At 47.2% G+C, this 14,659-nt stretch overlaps 1 protein-coding gene across 10 annotated transcripts in view, besides 4 other annotated features; it reads left to right on the forward strand.

Moving 5' to 3' along the window:
- Window positions 12,713-13,232: a silencer, noted in NCBI's record as "silent region_7791". NCBI's record gives its function as "represses an Ori minimal core promoter by ATAC-STARR-seq in GM12878 lymphoblastoid cells {active_cell/tissue: GM12878}" and the evidence as "EXISTENCE:reporter gene assay evidence [ECO:0000049][PMID:35858748]".
- Window positions 13,241-14,659, forward strand: part of USP10 (ubiquitin specific peptidase 10) — a 79,923-nt gene continuing 78,504 nt past the window's right edge. For all 10 annotated transcript variants that reach the window (NR_073578.2, NR_073577.2, NM_001272075.2 and 7 more), the window contains exon 1: window positions 13,241-13,352. Coding sequence is in view for 2 of the 10 variants with exons in the window: in XM_047434876.1 (XP_047290832.1) it covers window positions 13,317-13,352 (36 nt within the window). In the remaining 8 variants the exon portion in view is untranslated. The remainder of the gene's footprint in view (window positions 13,353-14,659) is intronic.
- Window positions 13,323-13,542: a silencer, noted in NCBI's record as "silent region_7792". NCBI's record gives its function as "represses an Ori minimal core promoter by ATAC-STARR-seq in GM12878 lymphoblastoid cells {active_cell/tissue: GM12878}" and the evidence as "EXISTENCE:reporter gene assay evidence [ECO:0000049][PMID:35858748]".
- Window positions 13,553-13,662: a silencer, noted in NCBI's record as "silent region_7793". NCBI's record gives its function as "represses an Ori minimal core promoter by ATAC-STARR-seq in GM12878 lymphoblastoid cells {active_cell/tissue: GM12878}" and the evidence as "EXISTENCE:reporter gene assay evidence [ECO:0000049][PMID:35858748]".
- Window positions 13,703-13,812: a silencer, noted in NCBI's record as "silent region_7794". NCBI's record gives its function as "represses an Ori minimal core promoter by ATAC-STARR-seq in GM12878 lymphoblastoid cells {active_cell/tissue: GM12878}" and the evidence as "EXISTENCE:reporter gene assay evidence [ECO:0000049][PMID:35858748]".

The raw sequence follows: 14,659 nt of genomic DNA on the forward strand, positions 1-14,659 counted from the left end.
AGTTCTTTTCTCTGGAGACAGCTGGGGTTGCCATCATCTGGGGTCGTGACCAGGCTAAGCACCTTAGTTCTCCTCTACATGGCCTCTCCATGCAGCTGAGGGCTGGGTTCCACGAGGGAACATCCTGAGCACACAAGACAAAGGCCCAGCCCTGGAGTTGACACAGCATCACCTCCACTGCACGCTATTGGTCAAAGCAAGTCACAGGGCTGGCTCAGCTTCTAGGGGACAGAAAATAGACTCCACCTCTCAATGCCAAGAGTGTCAGAGAACAGGCAGCCACTTCTAATCTCTCAGAGACAGATCAGGGCTGTTAAACTCAGGAAGAAATCTTCAAGGTGACCTTGAGTGGATTGGGATCATAATCCCAAAAGACACAATCCAGAATGCCATAATCCCAAATGTTGAAATCCCAGAAGATCAAAATCTTGAAAATATCATTCTGAAAAAAATCATAAAACATTAGGCCAGGCGCGGTGGCTCCTGACTGTAATCCCAGCACTTTGGGAGGCCGAGGTTGGCAGATCACCTGAGGTCAGGAGTTCGAGACCAGCCTGACCAATATGATGAAACCCCGTCGCTACTAAAAATACAAAAAATTAGGCCGGGCATGGTCGCAGGTGCCTGTAATTTCAGCTACTAGGGAGGCTGAGGTGGGAGAATAACTTGAACCCGGGAGGCAGAGGTTGCAGTGTGGCGAGATTGCACCACTGCACTTCAGCCTGGGTGACAGAGAGAGACTCTGTCTACAAAAAAAAAAAAAAAAAAAAAAAAAAAAAAAAAAATTGTAGGATATCACACTTACTAGGATGTTGCTAGAATCCAGGAAAGATTCAAGGTGTCTGTCACTAGCTGGGTAATCTCTTCAATCTGGAAAACCTAGTTTGTCATGGGGTGGGGAAAGGGAATCTCTACTCAGGAGAAAACATAAAGATGGTTTTTGAGGGTATGAAGCCCATTCGCCTCCTTGTCCAGAGACTTTAGCTACCATTCAGATGTTCTCTGGGGCCTCAGCTCATGATTAATTCATCAAGTATTGGTTGAGCTCTCGTCACATGTCAGGGATCATGCCTTGTGTTGAGGCTTACAATGGAAAGCAAGAACTACAAGAGCAAGATCATGATCGTTAGAGCAGAACCAGGAAACCCTGTGGCTTTGACTCACCAGCATGCAACGGGACCAAAAAAAAAAAAAAAATTCATCTCCTGTCCAATTTCATCAGCATTAAGTGGCCTCCTTTCTGAAGAGGGACAGCTGTTGGGAAACCCTTGCGGGGTAAGATGTAAAATGCTCACCATCCACCAAGTCATTGCTTATTTACTTACTTAATATAATAAAATCGGGGAAAGATCTGTTAAGAAATAAACACTTCACGGCAGTGCTGTCAATGATGGTGAGATGCTGGAAACAAGCTACCTGTCTAACAGTATGTGCTGAGAGCAAGCGTGTATATATGTGCATTGATATGGTTTAGCTGTGTCCCCACCCAAATCTCATCTTGAATTGTAGCTCCCATAATCCGCATGTGTCGTGGGAGGGATGCAGTGGGAGGTGATTGAATCATGGGGGTAGGTTTTTCCTGTGCTGTTCTCATCACAGTGAATAAGTTTCCTGAGATCTGATGGTTTTATAAGGGGCAGTTCCCCTGCACATGCTCTCTTGCCTGCCACCATGTAAGATGTGCCTTTGCTTCTCCTTCACCTTCCGCCATGCTTATGAGGCCTCCCCAGCCATGTGGAACTGTGAGTCCATTAAACCTGTTTTTTTTTTCTTCCTTCCTTCCTTTCTTTTTTTTGAGATGGCATCTCACTCTGTTGCCAAGGCTGGAGTGCAGTGGCACGATCTTGGCTTACTGCAACCTCTGCCTCCCGGGTTCAAGCGATTCTCCTGCCTCAGTCTCCCGAGTAGCTGGGATTACAGGTGTGTGCCACCATGATGCCTGGCTAATTTTTGTGTTTTTAGTAGAGACAGAGTTTCGCCATTTTGGCCAGGCTGGTCTCGAACTCCTGACCTCAGGTGATCCTCCCACCTCAGCCTCCCAAAGTGCTGGGATTAGAGGCATGAGCCATCACACCCAGTCTAAACTTCTTTTTCTTAATAAAGTACCCAGTCTTAGGTATTTCTTCATAGCAGTACGAAAATGGACTAAAACATGCATACAGAATCTGAATACGTCCACATTTATATACATACTGTGTACATTCTTAGTTGACCGGCGGAGATTCTAGTAACATCCTACTAAGTGCAATATCCTACTGTTTCGCCCTTATCCCTCCCAGGCTACTCTTCACACGGCAGCCAGAGAGATCTTGTTCAAACCTACGTCTGCTCCTGTCCCTCCTCATTCCTTAGTTTACAGGCTAATCCATGTTCCCCCCATGTGCCTTCCCTCCCTCCTAGGGCAGGTTGCTGAGCTGAGTTTGATGTTGGTGTTTAAGGATAAACAGGTTTCAGATAACACGTCTGCACAGAGGGAGCCATAATTCAGGGCTCAGACGGACCACCTGAAGTCTGATTCAGCTCTGGAGGAAAAATTGTCTGTGCTGGTTTTATGGCGTGACGTAGAGACAGAGCCAAACAGGAAAGAAGGCACGTGACAATGGAGACAGATGGAAGCAGTGACTCGACAACACAGGAATTTTGTTCAACTTACCCTCACATCTTTGGCATCTAATATTTCCATACAGTAGGAGCTCACCACACTTTTTAATTTTTATTTATTTATTTTTATGAGATGGCCTCTCGCCCCGTTACCCAGACTGGAGTGTAGTGGTGTGATCTCAGCTCACTGCAACCTCCACCTCCTGGGTTCAAGTGATTCTCATGCCTCAGACTCCTGAGTAGCTGGGATTACAGGCATGCACCACCATACCCAGCTAATTTTTTGTATTTTTAGTAGAGACAGGGTTTCACCATGTTGGTCAGGCTGGTCTTGAACTCCTGATCTCAAGTGATCTGCCCACTTCAGCCTCCCAAAGTGCTGGGATTACAGGCATGAGTCCCCACTCCTGGCCCGTTCACCACGCTTTTGTCAAATAAATAAATACAGGAGAAAATGAATGAGTGATGCATATAAAGGGTTTAATCTGAGTGCTTGACACACGGTGCTCAGTAAATGGTTCACAATATTATGTGACCAGACCACTGCCCAATTCTCCAGCGCCATCTCTGCCAAGACTCCCTCACTCTCCCAGGAAACTCAGCTGCGAATCCACCCTGGCACCTTGGAAGTGCTGGGTGAACTATCCCGGTTTTTCCTGGATCACCCTTCTCTCCATTCCTCCTGGATCACCCTTCTCTCCATTCCTCTATGCCACACCCTTTGAAGGGACCCTTGGTATCAGCTTCCTGGGGTAGCTTTGCTGATGCTTCTCCATGTACCTCAGTTTACCCTACCATAGCTGATGCACACCGTCTCATTTAATCCTGACAGTGACCTGTGTGAAAGGCATCATTACCCCCATATTACAAATGAAGTAAAAGGTTTCCAGGAGCAGCCTTGCCCACAGCTTCCTGCCGCTAAGCGGGAGAGCTGGGAACTGAGCTTGGACCCTCGGACTCCACAGTCTATTTTGTAGATTCCCATCACATTCATGTTAACAACAAGCTTTAAAAAATCAAACAATCAGTGTTTGTGCTAGAATGCTGGGGTCACAGATTATTTTTTTCTTCAAAATTGTATAATTCTGTTAAAATAATCAATCTTGCCTTTAGAGTAGAAAAATATACTTTTTTTGTAGGCTAAAGAAGATTGAAAGAATGCTTTTGTTCTCTGGGTGGTCTGGCAAAGAAGAAAAAACCTACATCACAGGAAAATTGATGAAACAGAAGAAATTCTTGGATGAGTGGGAAAAGGAAGGGTTTGTAAGGGTGACTGGAGCAAGAAAAATGAAGGAGCATTAAATAATAATGTCACCCACTTCAACTCATTGATAATATGAACACATTGCAGCCAATGTATCATTTCACATGACTGAAGTTGCCACCACCTTCATCATCTCCGTTGATCTCAGTGTCTACTCAACGAAGCATGCAGGACAAACAGGGCTTTCTTCCTTATGTAGGAACCAAGTTACAGAAAATTAGTGATTTCTCCAAGGTCTTAAGAGTGACTTGGGGGGCTGAATTAAGACTGGTACCCAGGCCAGGCATAGTGACTCATGCCTGTAATCCCAGCACTTTGGGAGGCCTAGGTAGGTGGATCACTTGAGCCCAGGAGTTCAAGACCAGCGGGGCAACATAGGGAGACCCTGTCTCCACAAAAAGTAAACAAAATTAACTGGGTGTGGTTCTGTGTACCTGTAGTCTCAGTTGCTCTGGAGGTTGAGGCACGAGAATTGCTTGAGCCCAGGAGGCGGAGATTGCAGTGAGCTGAGATGGCGCCACTGCACTCCAGCCTGGGTGACAGAGTGAGACCCTATCTAAAAAAACAAAAAGGAAGAATGGATCAATAATGTGTCTTTTATTTTTTTCTTATTGCCTTTCTTTAGCAGTTTTTTCTCCTGGCCAAAGTCTTTGAAGATGATGGTGCCTAAATTTGGCCCACTGTCTGGGGAGGGGCAGAGACACGGGAAATGAGTATAATGTTTAAGTGAGGAACTGCATTATATAGATCCTCACTTAAGAAGAGACGTCAGCTATGTGAGTTCTGCCACCAAAAATAAAAGAGTAAAAGAATTAGAAGAAAAAAAAAGTGGGTGTTCTAGTCCATTCAACATGCTATCAACGAGCAAAGAGATCCGAGTGAGGCTCAGATGAGAGGCAGAGCTCTGTGCTCCCTCCACGGGTCCTCCCTCCCTCCTAGGGCAGATTGCTGAGCTGACTTTGATGTTGGTGTTTAATGATAAACAGATTTCAGATAACACGGCCCGCAGAGCAAGCTGTAATTCAGGGCTCCAATGGACCACCTGAAATTTGATCCAGCTTTGGAGGAAAAATTGTCTGTGTTGGTTTTATTACATGACAGAGACAGAGCCAAACAGAAAAGAAGGCAGGTGATGACTGAGGCAGAGACTGGAGCCATGATGCTACCAGCTGAGGATCACCAAGGGTGGCCGGCTGCACCAGAAGCTGGGAGACGGGCCTGCAGCAGCGTCCTCCTTGGAGCCTCCGGAGGGAGCATGGCCGTGCCAACACCTGGGTTTTGGACTCTGACCTCCAGAGCTGTGAGAATACATTTGTGTTGCTTTAAGCCTTCCAGTTTGTGGTTGTTACAGCAGCCACAGGAAACAGCGACTAGGTTGGTTGTTTTCTGGGACATACGGGACTTCTCTTACGTGCAGTTGTGTCCCAAGGACTCCTGATGACCTTGCTGAAACTTTTAGAAAACTGCCCTACAGGCCGGGCGCGGTGGCTCACGCCTGTAATCCCAGCACTTTGGGAGGCCAAGGCGGGTGGATCATGAGGTCAGGAGATCGAGACCATCCTGGCTAACACGGCGAAACCCCGTCTCTACTAAAAATGCAAAAAATTAGCCAGGCATGGTGGCGGGCACCTGTAGTCCCAGCTACTTGGGAGGCTGAGCCAGGAGAATGGCGCGAACCTGGGAGGCGGAGCTTGCAGTGAGCAGAGAGTGCCACTGCACTCCAGCCTGGGCGACAGAGAGAGACTCCGCCTCAAAAAAAAAAAAAAAGAAAAAGAAAAAAAAGAAGAAAACTGCCCTACAGTGAAACCCTCTTCCTCCCAGCCCTCTGCCTTCCTGCTCTCCTCTGCAGGGGCCAGCCCCACACTCTGCCGGCCAATCTCCCATCTCTGCCCACCCTTCCTCTTTCCCTCCTGGGCCTTTTCCTTCTCCACCTCTTGGTCCCTGTTTCTCAGAGGACCGGGACTAACAAAGACATCCATATATCAGGTTCAACAGCTACCAAGATTTTGCAACGTTTGCTTCGTCACTTCCTTTTTCCTTCCTGTTTTGTCCTCAGATACTTTAAAGCAAATCCCATACCTCACGTCATTTCATTCCCTACATATTTCAGAGCCCACTTCTTAAAACCAGGAGTATTTTCTTATATAAACCACAATGTCATGACCATACCTAACACATGTATTGGTAAATAGTTTCTTGGTATTTTCCAGGCCTCACCTACATTCTCTAAATTATCTCAAAAATGTCTTTTCATAGTACTTGATTTGACTCAGTTTTGAACTCTGCATTTGGCCAATCTTTTTTATCCCAATCTGCCCCACTTATAAGTGACATGATGTTAGGCAAGTCACTTGACTTTTTTCCATTTCCCCCACCTTAAAACGGGGAAACCAATAGGATCTGCCTTACTGGGTTTTCCAAGAATTAAATGAGGTCATTCCTTCCTTCATTCATTCAACAAATGTTTTGTAAGCAGCTGCCCAAAATGCCTGGAACTGTTCTAGGTCCTGCAAAAATATCAGAACACAAGACCAAGTACCTGGCTTCATGGAGCTTATATTTTTTATTATTATTATTATTATTTTGAGACAGTTGCTCTGTTACCCATACTGGAGTGGAGTGGTATGATCTCGGCTCACTGCAACCTCCACCCCCCAGGTTCAAGCAATCCTCCTGCCTCAGCCTCCTGAGTAGCTGGGATTACAGGTACCTGCCACCATGTCCAGTGGATTTTTGTATTTTTTAGTAGAGACGGACGGTGTTTTGCCATGTTAGCCAGGCTAGTCTTGAACTCCTGGGCTTAAGTGATCCACCTGCCTTAGCCTCCCAAAGTACTGGGATTACAGGCATGAGCCACTGCGCCAGGCCTGATTCTAGTGGAAGAAAAAGACAATAAACACACAAAATTAATATGCCATAGAATGTCAGCTAGTTTCCCCAAATGTCAGCTACAAGTTTCCCCAAATTCTAATTTTTGTTTGAAAGAAAGTTTGTGAGTGCTGTGGGAAATTAACCTGGATAGCAGGAGGGCACAGGGTGGGGCACCCATTATGGGCAAAGGAGTGAGGAGGGTCCTTTAGGAAGAGACGACCATTAACAGAAACCTGAGTGAATGAAGGGTTGAGCCTCCCTGGGGAAAGTTCCAGGCAGACAGAGGGCACATTTAAAGTGGGCACTTGCTGGCACGGGAGAGCTGGAGTTCTCAAACTTCTTGGTCGCTGATCTCTTCACATTCTTAAAAATTATTGTTGGCTGACCTCCTGTTGGCAAAGCTAAAGAATTAAATGAGAAAAAAAAAAAAAAAAAAAGAGCCAGTGCGGTGGCTCACGCCTGTAATTCCAGCACTTTGGGAGGCCGAGGTGGGAGGATCACGAGGTCAGGAGTTCGAGACCAGCCTGACCAACATGGTGAAACCCTATCTCTACTAAAAATACAAAAACTAGCCGGGCGTGGTGGCTCACGCACCTGTAATCCCAGCTATTCAGGAGGCCGAGGCAGGAGAATCGCTTGAACACAGGAGACAGAGGTTGTATCTGTTGTGGTTTACCATATTAGAAGTAAAAACTAAAACATTACAAAATAATAACAATTTATTTAAAATATAATACTTTCATTAAATGTTAACATAAATAACATCATTTTAGTGAAAAACAACTATACTCCAAAACAAAACATTTTGGTGAGAGGAGTGGCATTATTTTGTATTTTTACAAATTTTTAAAAAGTCTGGGCCAGGAGCAGTGGCTCACACCTGTAATCCCAGCACTGTGGGAGACTGAGGAGAAAGGATTGCTTGAGCTCAGGAGTTTGAGACCAGCCTCGGATTACAAGCATTAGCCATTGTGTCTGGCCCCACTGTCCTATCTTGTACTTTGAATGGATCTTTTACTCATGTGCAATTTTATAACATCAGTCATTTGGAAAACATTGATTCGCTGAGTTATGCAGATCTTCCAAATGTTGACGCATTCTATTCTATTTTTTTTTTTTAATTACAGACATAAAGATGGCAACAATAGACACTAGCGACTACTAGAGGGGGAAGGGAGGGAGGGGGGCAAGCGTTGAACAACTAACAGTGGGTACTATGCTCAGTACCTGGGGGGCGAGATCATTCCTACCCCAAATCTCAGCATCATGCAGTATACCCAGGTAACAAACCTGCACATGTACCTCCTGAATCTAAAAGTTGAAAAAAAGTTACATTTATTACTATCACCACCAATCTTATCAGAAAAGTCTTTAAGAATTGGGTAGCTGTCCATCTCACAATGGTGGATACAAGTGTCTCCAAATTCTAATTTTTGTTTGAAAGAAAGCTTGAATTTTATAATTGGCAATAAATGCTGTCAAATGCACTGAGCCCTTCCTGTGCAAACCTCACTTTCCCTTCTAAGAACTCTGGGAGTAATAATGACAATTTTCACCATTTATTAAGCCCTTGCTGTATGCCGGACATTTTGCTAAGCAATTTGCCTCTGTTATCTTATTCTCCTTTTCACGATATCCCTGGGAGGTATTATTTCTCCCATTTTGCAGATGAGGAAACTGAGGTCCAGAGACACTAGTTACTTGCTTAAGGCCACACAGTTAGTGGCACTCCTATATACTTTCAGAGTTCCAGAAAAGAACTCTTGGGAAACACCTACTCATCAAGATCTAGCTCAAATGTTACCTCCTTGGGGAAGCCTTATGCCCAAACTGGACAATGAGAAAACTCACTTACCATTTGTTGAATGGTAGTTTAAAAGCACCAGGCACCGGGCATGGTGGCTCATGCCTGTAATCTCAGCATTTTGGGATGCCGAGGCGGGTGGATCACCTGAGGTCAGGAGTTTGAGACCAGCCTGGCCAACAGAGTGAAACGCTGTCTCTACTAAAAATACAAAAATTAGCTGGGCATGGTGGTGCATGCCTGCAATCTCGGCTACTTGGGAGGCTGAGGCAGAAGAATCGTTTGAACCCTGGAGGCGGAGGTTGCAGCGAGCTGAGATCATGCCACTGTACTCCAGCCTGGGCGACAAAGTGAAATTCCGTCTCAAAAAAATAAAAAAATAAAAGCACCAGGCAGCACACTCCATGTGCTAGCTCCATTACTTCATCTCCTCCTAGCAACAGGCTTATAGAACAGGTAGTGTTGCTTCCCCTGTCATAGTTTCCTATTGTTGCTGGAACAAAATTTACCGGCTTAAATCAACACAAGTTTTTTGTTTTAAAGTTCTGTAGCTCAGAAGACTCACGGGGCTAAATCAAGCTGTAAGCAAGGCTATGTTCCTTCTGGCAGCACTAGCAGAAAATGTTTGCCCTTTTCCAGCTCCTAGAGGCCACCCACATTCCTTGGCTCGTGGCACCAGCAGCGCAGCATCTTCAAATCTCTCCCTCTCTCTTTCTGCTTCTATTTTCACATCTCCTTGTGACCTGACTCTCTTGCCCCTCCTTCTTTCCCTCATAAGGACCCTTGTGATTACTTGGGACCCACCAGTCATGTCATAATTAGGTTATTTCCCAGGATAATCCATCTCAAAGCCTTTAACATTACCACATTTGCAATGTTCCTTTTACCATGTAAAGTAATATATCCACAGGTTCTGAGGTTGGGGCATGGACATCTTTGAGGGGAGGGGCATTATTCTGCCCATCACACCACCTTCTACAAAAGATTCACAGAAAATGTAGGTAACTTGCCCAGGTTCACACAGCTAGTGAGTGGGGGATTCCAGATTTGAACTTGGGCCTGTCTTGACTCCAGGCCTAGGCCACTGTCCCCAGACTCATGGGAGATACCAGGTGTATTAGTCGGTTGTCATGCTGCTAATAAAGACATACATACCCAAGCTAGGTAATTTATAAAGCAAAGAGGTTTAATTGACTCACAGTTCCACATGGCAAGGGAGGCCTCACAATCATGGCGGAAGGCAAATGAGGAGCAAAGTCACGCTTAACATGGCGGCAGGCAAGAGAGCTTGTGCAGGGGAACTCTCATTTGTAAAACCATTAGAGGCTGGGCGTGGTGGCTCACGCCTGTATTCCCAGCACTTTGGGAGGCTGACGTGGGCAGATCACTTGAGGTCAGGAGTTCAAGACCAGCCTGGCCATCATGGTGAAACCCCATCTCTACTAAAAATACGAAAATTAGCCGGGCGTGGTGTCACATGCCTGTAGTCCCAGCTACTCCAGAAGCTGAGGCAGGAGAATCACTTGAACCCAGAAGGCGGAGGTTACGGTGAGCTGAGATCCTGCCACTGCACTCCAGCCTGGGCGACAGAGCAAGACTGTCTCAAAAACAAAAACAAAAACAAAAACAAAAAAACAACCAAACAAACCAAAAAAACCACACACACACACACACACACACACACACACACAAACATTAGATCTTGTGAGACTTACTCACTACCATGAGAACAGTATGGGGAAAACCACGCCAATGATTCAATTATCACCACGTGGCCCCACTCTTGACACGTGGGGATTATTACAATCCAAGATGAGATTTGGGTGGGGACACAGCCGAAGTATATCACCAGGCTCTGCTAAGCACTGAAGGCCATAGTGCTTGTTCATAGCTTCCTTTTAACATCTATTTCCTTGTACTGAAGGTATGTGTTCATATCTATGTGAATTATTTGAAAATGAAGACTGGGATCTTTTTTATTTATTTATTTATATATTTATTTATTTGTGAGACAAAGTCTCACTTTTGTCCCCCAGGCTGGAGTGAGATGGTGTGATCTCAGCTCACTGCAACCTCCGCCTCCCGGGTTCAAGCAATTTTCCTGCCTAGGCCCCCCAGGTAGCTGGGATTACAGGTGCCCGCCACCATGCCCAGCTAATTTTTGTATTTTTAGTAGAGACGGGGTTTCACCATGTTGGCCAGGCTAGTCTCGAACTTTTGACCTCAGGTGATCCACCCGCCTCAGCCTCCCAAAGTGCTGGGATTACAGGCGTGAGCCACCGTGCCTGGCCTGGGATCTTTTGTTTATTATCACTTTTATTTGTTGTTCAAGCAACTGTATGATAAAAATCAGACAAACAACTATATATATATATATATATATATATATATATATATATATATATATATGTTTTTTTTTTTTTTTTTTTTTGAGACAGAGTTTCACTCTTGTTGTCCAGGCTGGAGTGCAATGGTGCCATCTCGGCTCACTGCAACCTCTGCCTCCCGGGTTCAAGCGATTCTTCTGCCTCAGCCTCCTGAGTAGCTGGGATTACAGGCGCCTGCCACCACGCCCGACTAATTTTTGTATTTTTAGTAGAGACGGGGCTTCACCATGTTGATCAGGCTGGTCTTGAACTCCCGACCTCAGGTGATCCACCCACCTCAGCCTTCCAAAGTGCTGAGATTACAGGTGTGAGCCACCGCACCGAGCCAGAGAGACAACCATAAATCACTAGTGAGTTTTCACGTCCCCCAGTTTCTATCCAAGTGCAGATATCGCTTTTCCATGGTTAAAATTATAGCACAGACACTATATTGTATTGTTTTCCCCAATTTTTTGTTATAAAAATTTTCAAACATAGAGAAAAGCTGAAATATATAGCACTACTTAGAGCCAACAATAGTAAACATTTTGCCATATTTGCTGTCTCTCCCTGAATGTTTATGTGTGTACATGATTTTATCTTTTGTTGAACCATTAAACAATAGTTTACAGGCATTATGGCCTTCACTCCTCAACTCTTCAGAATGCATCTCCTCACAATAAGGACATTCTCTCAGTGAGCACAGTATAATTATTACACTATAAAATTACCAATAATTCACGAAGATCACCCATATCCAATCCATATTCAAATGTCTCCAATTGTCAACAAATAGTAAAACCAGCTTAAAAGACATATCAGGATCCAAGCAAGATGACACATTGTATTTGGTTATGTTTTCTAGCTCTTCTATTTTGGAACAACCCCTCCCTACCACTTATATTTTTCTTTTCTTTTCTTTCTTTCTTTCTTTCTTTTTTTTTTTTTGAGACAGAGACTCGCTCTGTCACCCAGGCTGGAGTGCAGTGGCACGATCTCGGCTCACCGCAACCTCCGTCTCCGGGGTTCAAGTGATCCTCCCACCTCAGCCTCCTGAGTAGCTGGGACGCCTGGTGTGCCACACTACATCCCACCAATTTTTGTATTTTTAGTAGAGTTGGGGTTTCATCATATTAGCCAGGCTGGTCTCCAACTCCTGACTTCAAGTGATCCGCCCGCCTCGGCCTCCCAATGTGTGGGATTCCGGGTGTGAGCCGCTGCGCCTGGCCCACTTATATTTTTCATGGCATCCCATTTATGAAGAGACCAGGCTCCCTATTTTATGTAACGTGGGAATGGATCTTCCTGTTCATCTCCTCTGCTCAGTGTACGGTCTAGCAAGAGCAGACTCTCTGTAGGTGTTTGTTGAATAAATGAAACCAATAGTAATGGTTATTAATAACAATCCCAGTAGCCAATTTTTATTGACTATTCTCTTGGCCAGTGTGCTCACGTTAATCTAATTTGAACCTCACAGAAATCTTACGCGTTATGACATATTTGTCTTATTCACAGGTGAGGAAACCAAGGCTTAGGGAAGGAAAGTCGCTTGTCTGAAATCACAGCTAGAAAAGGGGCCAAAACCCAAGGGTGGACCCACTGGCTGGAAAACAGTGCAGTTAGGCAGGGGCCCCTGTTTCTTAATAATGAATGAACCAACGACCCCCAAGGCTGGTTTGCCCGTGCACACGCACGCACGTGTGCAACACGTAGCACTTGCTGAGTGTTTGCTACTTGCCAGGCCTCATGTCAAGCACTTTACGCGTGCTTTTATGCCCTACGTTTTGTTTTTGTCTGTTTTGCTTTTTTCCCCTAATGCCTAGCCAAAGGCGTGGCCCAGGCGCCCAGGCAGGACTTGGGGAGTGAATGAAGAGTGAACAAATGAATGAATGCGCGGCAACGGGATCTTCATAAACCAGACCCTCCTCGGGGATCTAATGCGAACACTCCCGAGGCCCGGGCCCAGGTACGCTGAGGGCGGCTCGTGGGCCCCAGGCCGACCTCAGCCCGCGACTCCCGGGCTCCGGGGGCCCAGGTGGCCCCCAGTAGGTGAGGAGCCGGGCCCGCCGGCGCCTTGGCGTTGCCACCTCTACCTGCCTGCCCTCTCCCCTTCCGGATCCACAGCCAGGCCTCGGCGGGCTCCTGGTGTGCAGCCGCCCGGCCGCTTCCGCCCGAGGGTCGCGGGGCTCAGAGTCCGGCAGGCTCCAGGCGGGGCAGGGGATGTCCGCGGCCCGGCAGGCGCACGCCCACCTGTCGGCCGCGCAGGCGCAGCAGCGGGCCGGCCTCCCCGCGCCCCGCGGCGCGCGGCCAGTGCGCAGGCGCGGCGGCCGATGCGAGTGTGTATGTGCGGGCGAGAAGATGGCGGCGGCGGGGGAAGCAGCGTGAGCAGCCGGAGGATCGCGGAGTCCCAATGAAACGGGCAGCCATGGCCCTCCACAGCCCGCAGGTAGCCGCCGGTCTGCGCCTTCGGCCGGAAGGGGCCCGAGCCCCGGGCGGGCGGACGCCGCGGCGGGCGGGCGTCCGCGCCCTGCCCGGAGCGAGCGTGTGGGAGTGGGGGAGGGCGCTGGGACACGCTGCCCGGGCCTAGGCCGGAGCCACCCGCCGCCTCCGCGCCCGCCGCGCCTTCGTCCCCTGAGCCACCCGGACCCCCTAGTCCCGGGGAGGTCGAAGGGCGGGGGCTCCGGGCCCCGCTTGGGGAGGGCGTGGAGGGCGCCGAAGGGGTTAACCTCCCTGGGGCTGGACCGCGGGGCGAGCCCGGGGTGTGGAGTGGGGCCCTCCCCGCCGCGCCGGCCGGGGGAGGCGGCCCGGGGGCTCCGGGAGTCCCCTGGAGCGCAGGGGCCCCAGAGCAGCTCAGGTTGCTGCCTCTGCCTGGAGCGAGCCTCAGAGATTTGGGGGTGCCCTGTTGCCCCTTTGCCCCAAGAGCTTCCTTTCTCAGCTTGATTGATGATGCGGGGGTTGCCGATTTTCTGTTTTTTAGATAGAAGTAGCAGAGTAGCGGCCTTGGGCTGCTGTTGCAAAGAAAACTCGAAATAAGTCGCAAGGACCGTACTTTCACTTGCGTTTGAGTGACATCCCTTGCACGAATCCATCCCAGCCAGGCTGACAACTAACGCACCCTGCCTGAACAGTAGCTAAAGCTTGGGGGCCCTTTACAATAATCCCGTGGTGGAAAGAAAGAGCTCTTTTTGGGAGATGTGCGTGTAGAGTTAAGCTCTTATTCCCCTCTCCCACCCCTTCTCTCACATCTTCTCCCCCCTCCGCCATTATAATTATTCTGGACAAAAATCGGCATGATGTATTATTTGTCAGCCTTGCTTTAGACTGCTAATTTGTTGACATCTGGTCCCTATAAATTGTTGCACACTTTTAAACCATCTCATTGTGTATTTGTATTAAATATGGGGAAATGAAACAAAGTAGCCATTCGGGAAACTGATTGCGAGTAAAATCATAACCCTTCATGAGCAATTGGGTTTTGTTGCCCTTCTGCAGATGAAGTCAATCTGACTACACCTCTTTTGAAACATGATTTTCGGAACTATTGTAATGAATGCGTGTTGTGGAATCTAAAATGCGAAAACTTTTTAAAAAATTAGATCTTACGACAAGCTTCAATTTTGTTAAATTAGCTGTAGTTTAGTTTGCATCAGAATTTCCCCCTTTAACGTTTTGTTCCCTTATTCATTTACTTTTGTAAGTAGTGTAGGTCTTTGCGCCAAAAAAGGGATCAGTAGTTGAATAATTTTTACAAAT

This window comes from Homo sapiens, chromosome 16 (genome assembly GCF_000001405.40).
Source record: "Homo sapiens chromosome 16, GRCh38.p14 Primary Assembly".
Classification (NCBI taxonomy): Eukaryota; Metazoa; Chordata; class Mammalia; order Primates; family Hominidae; genus Homo; species Homo sapiens.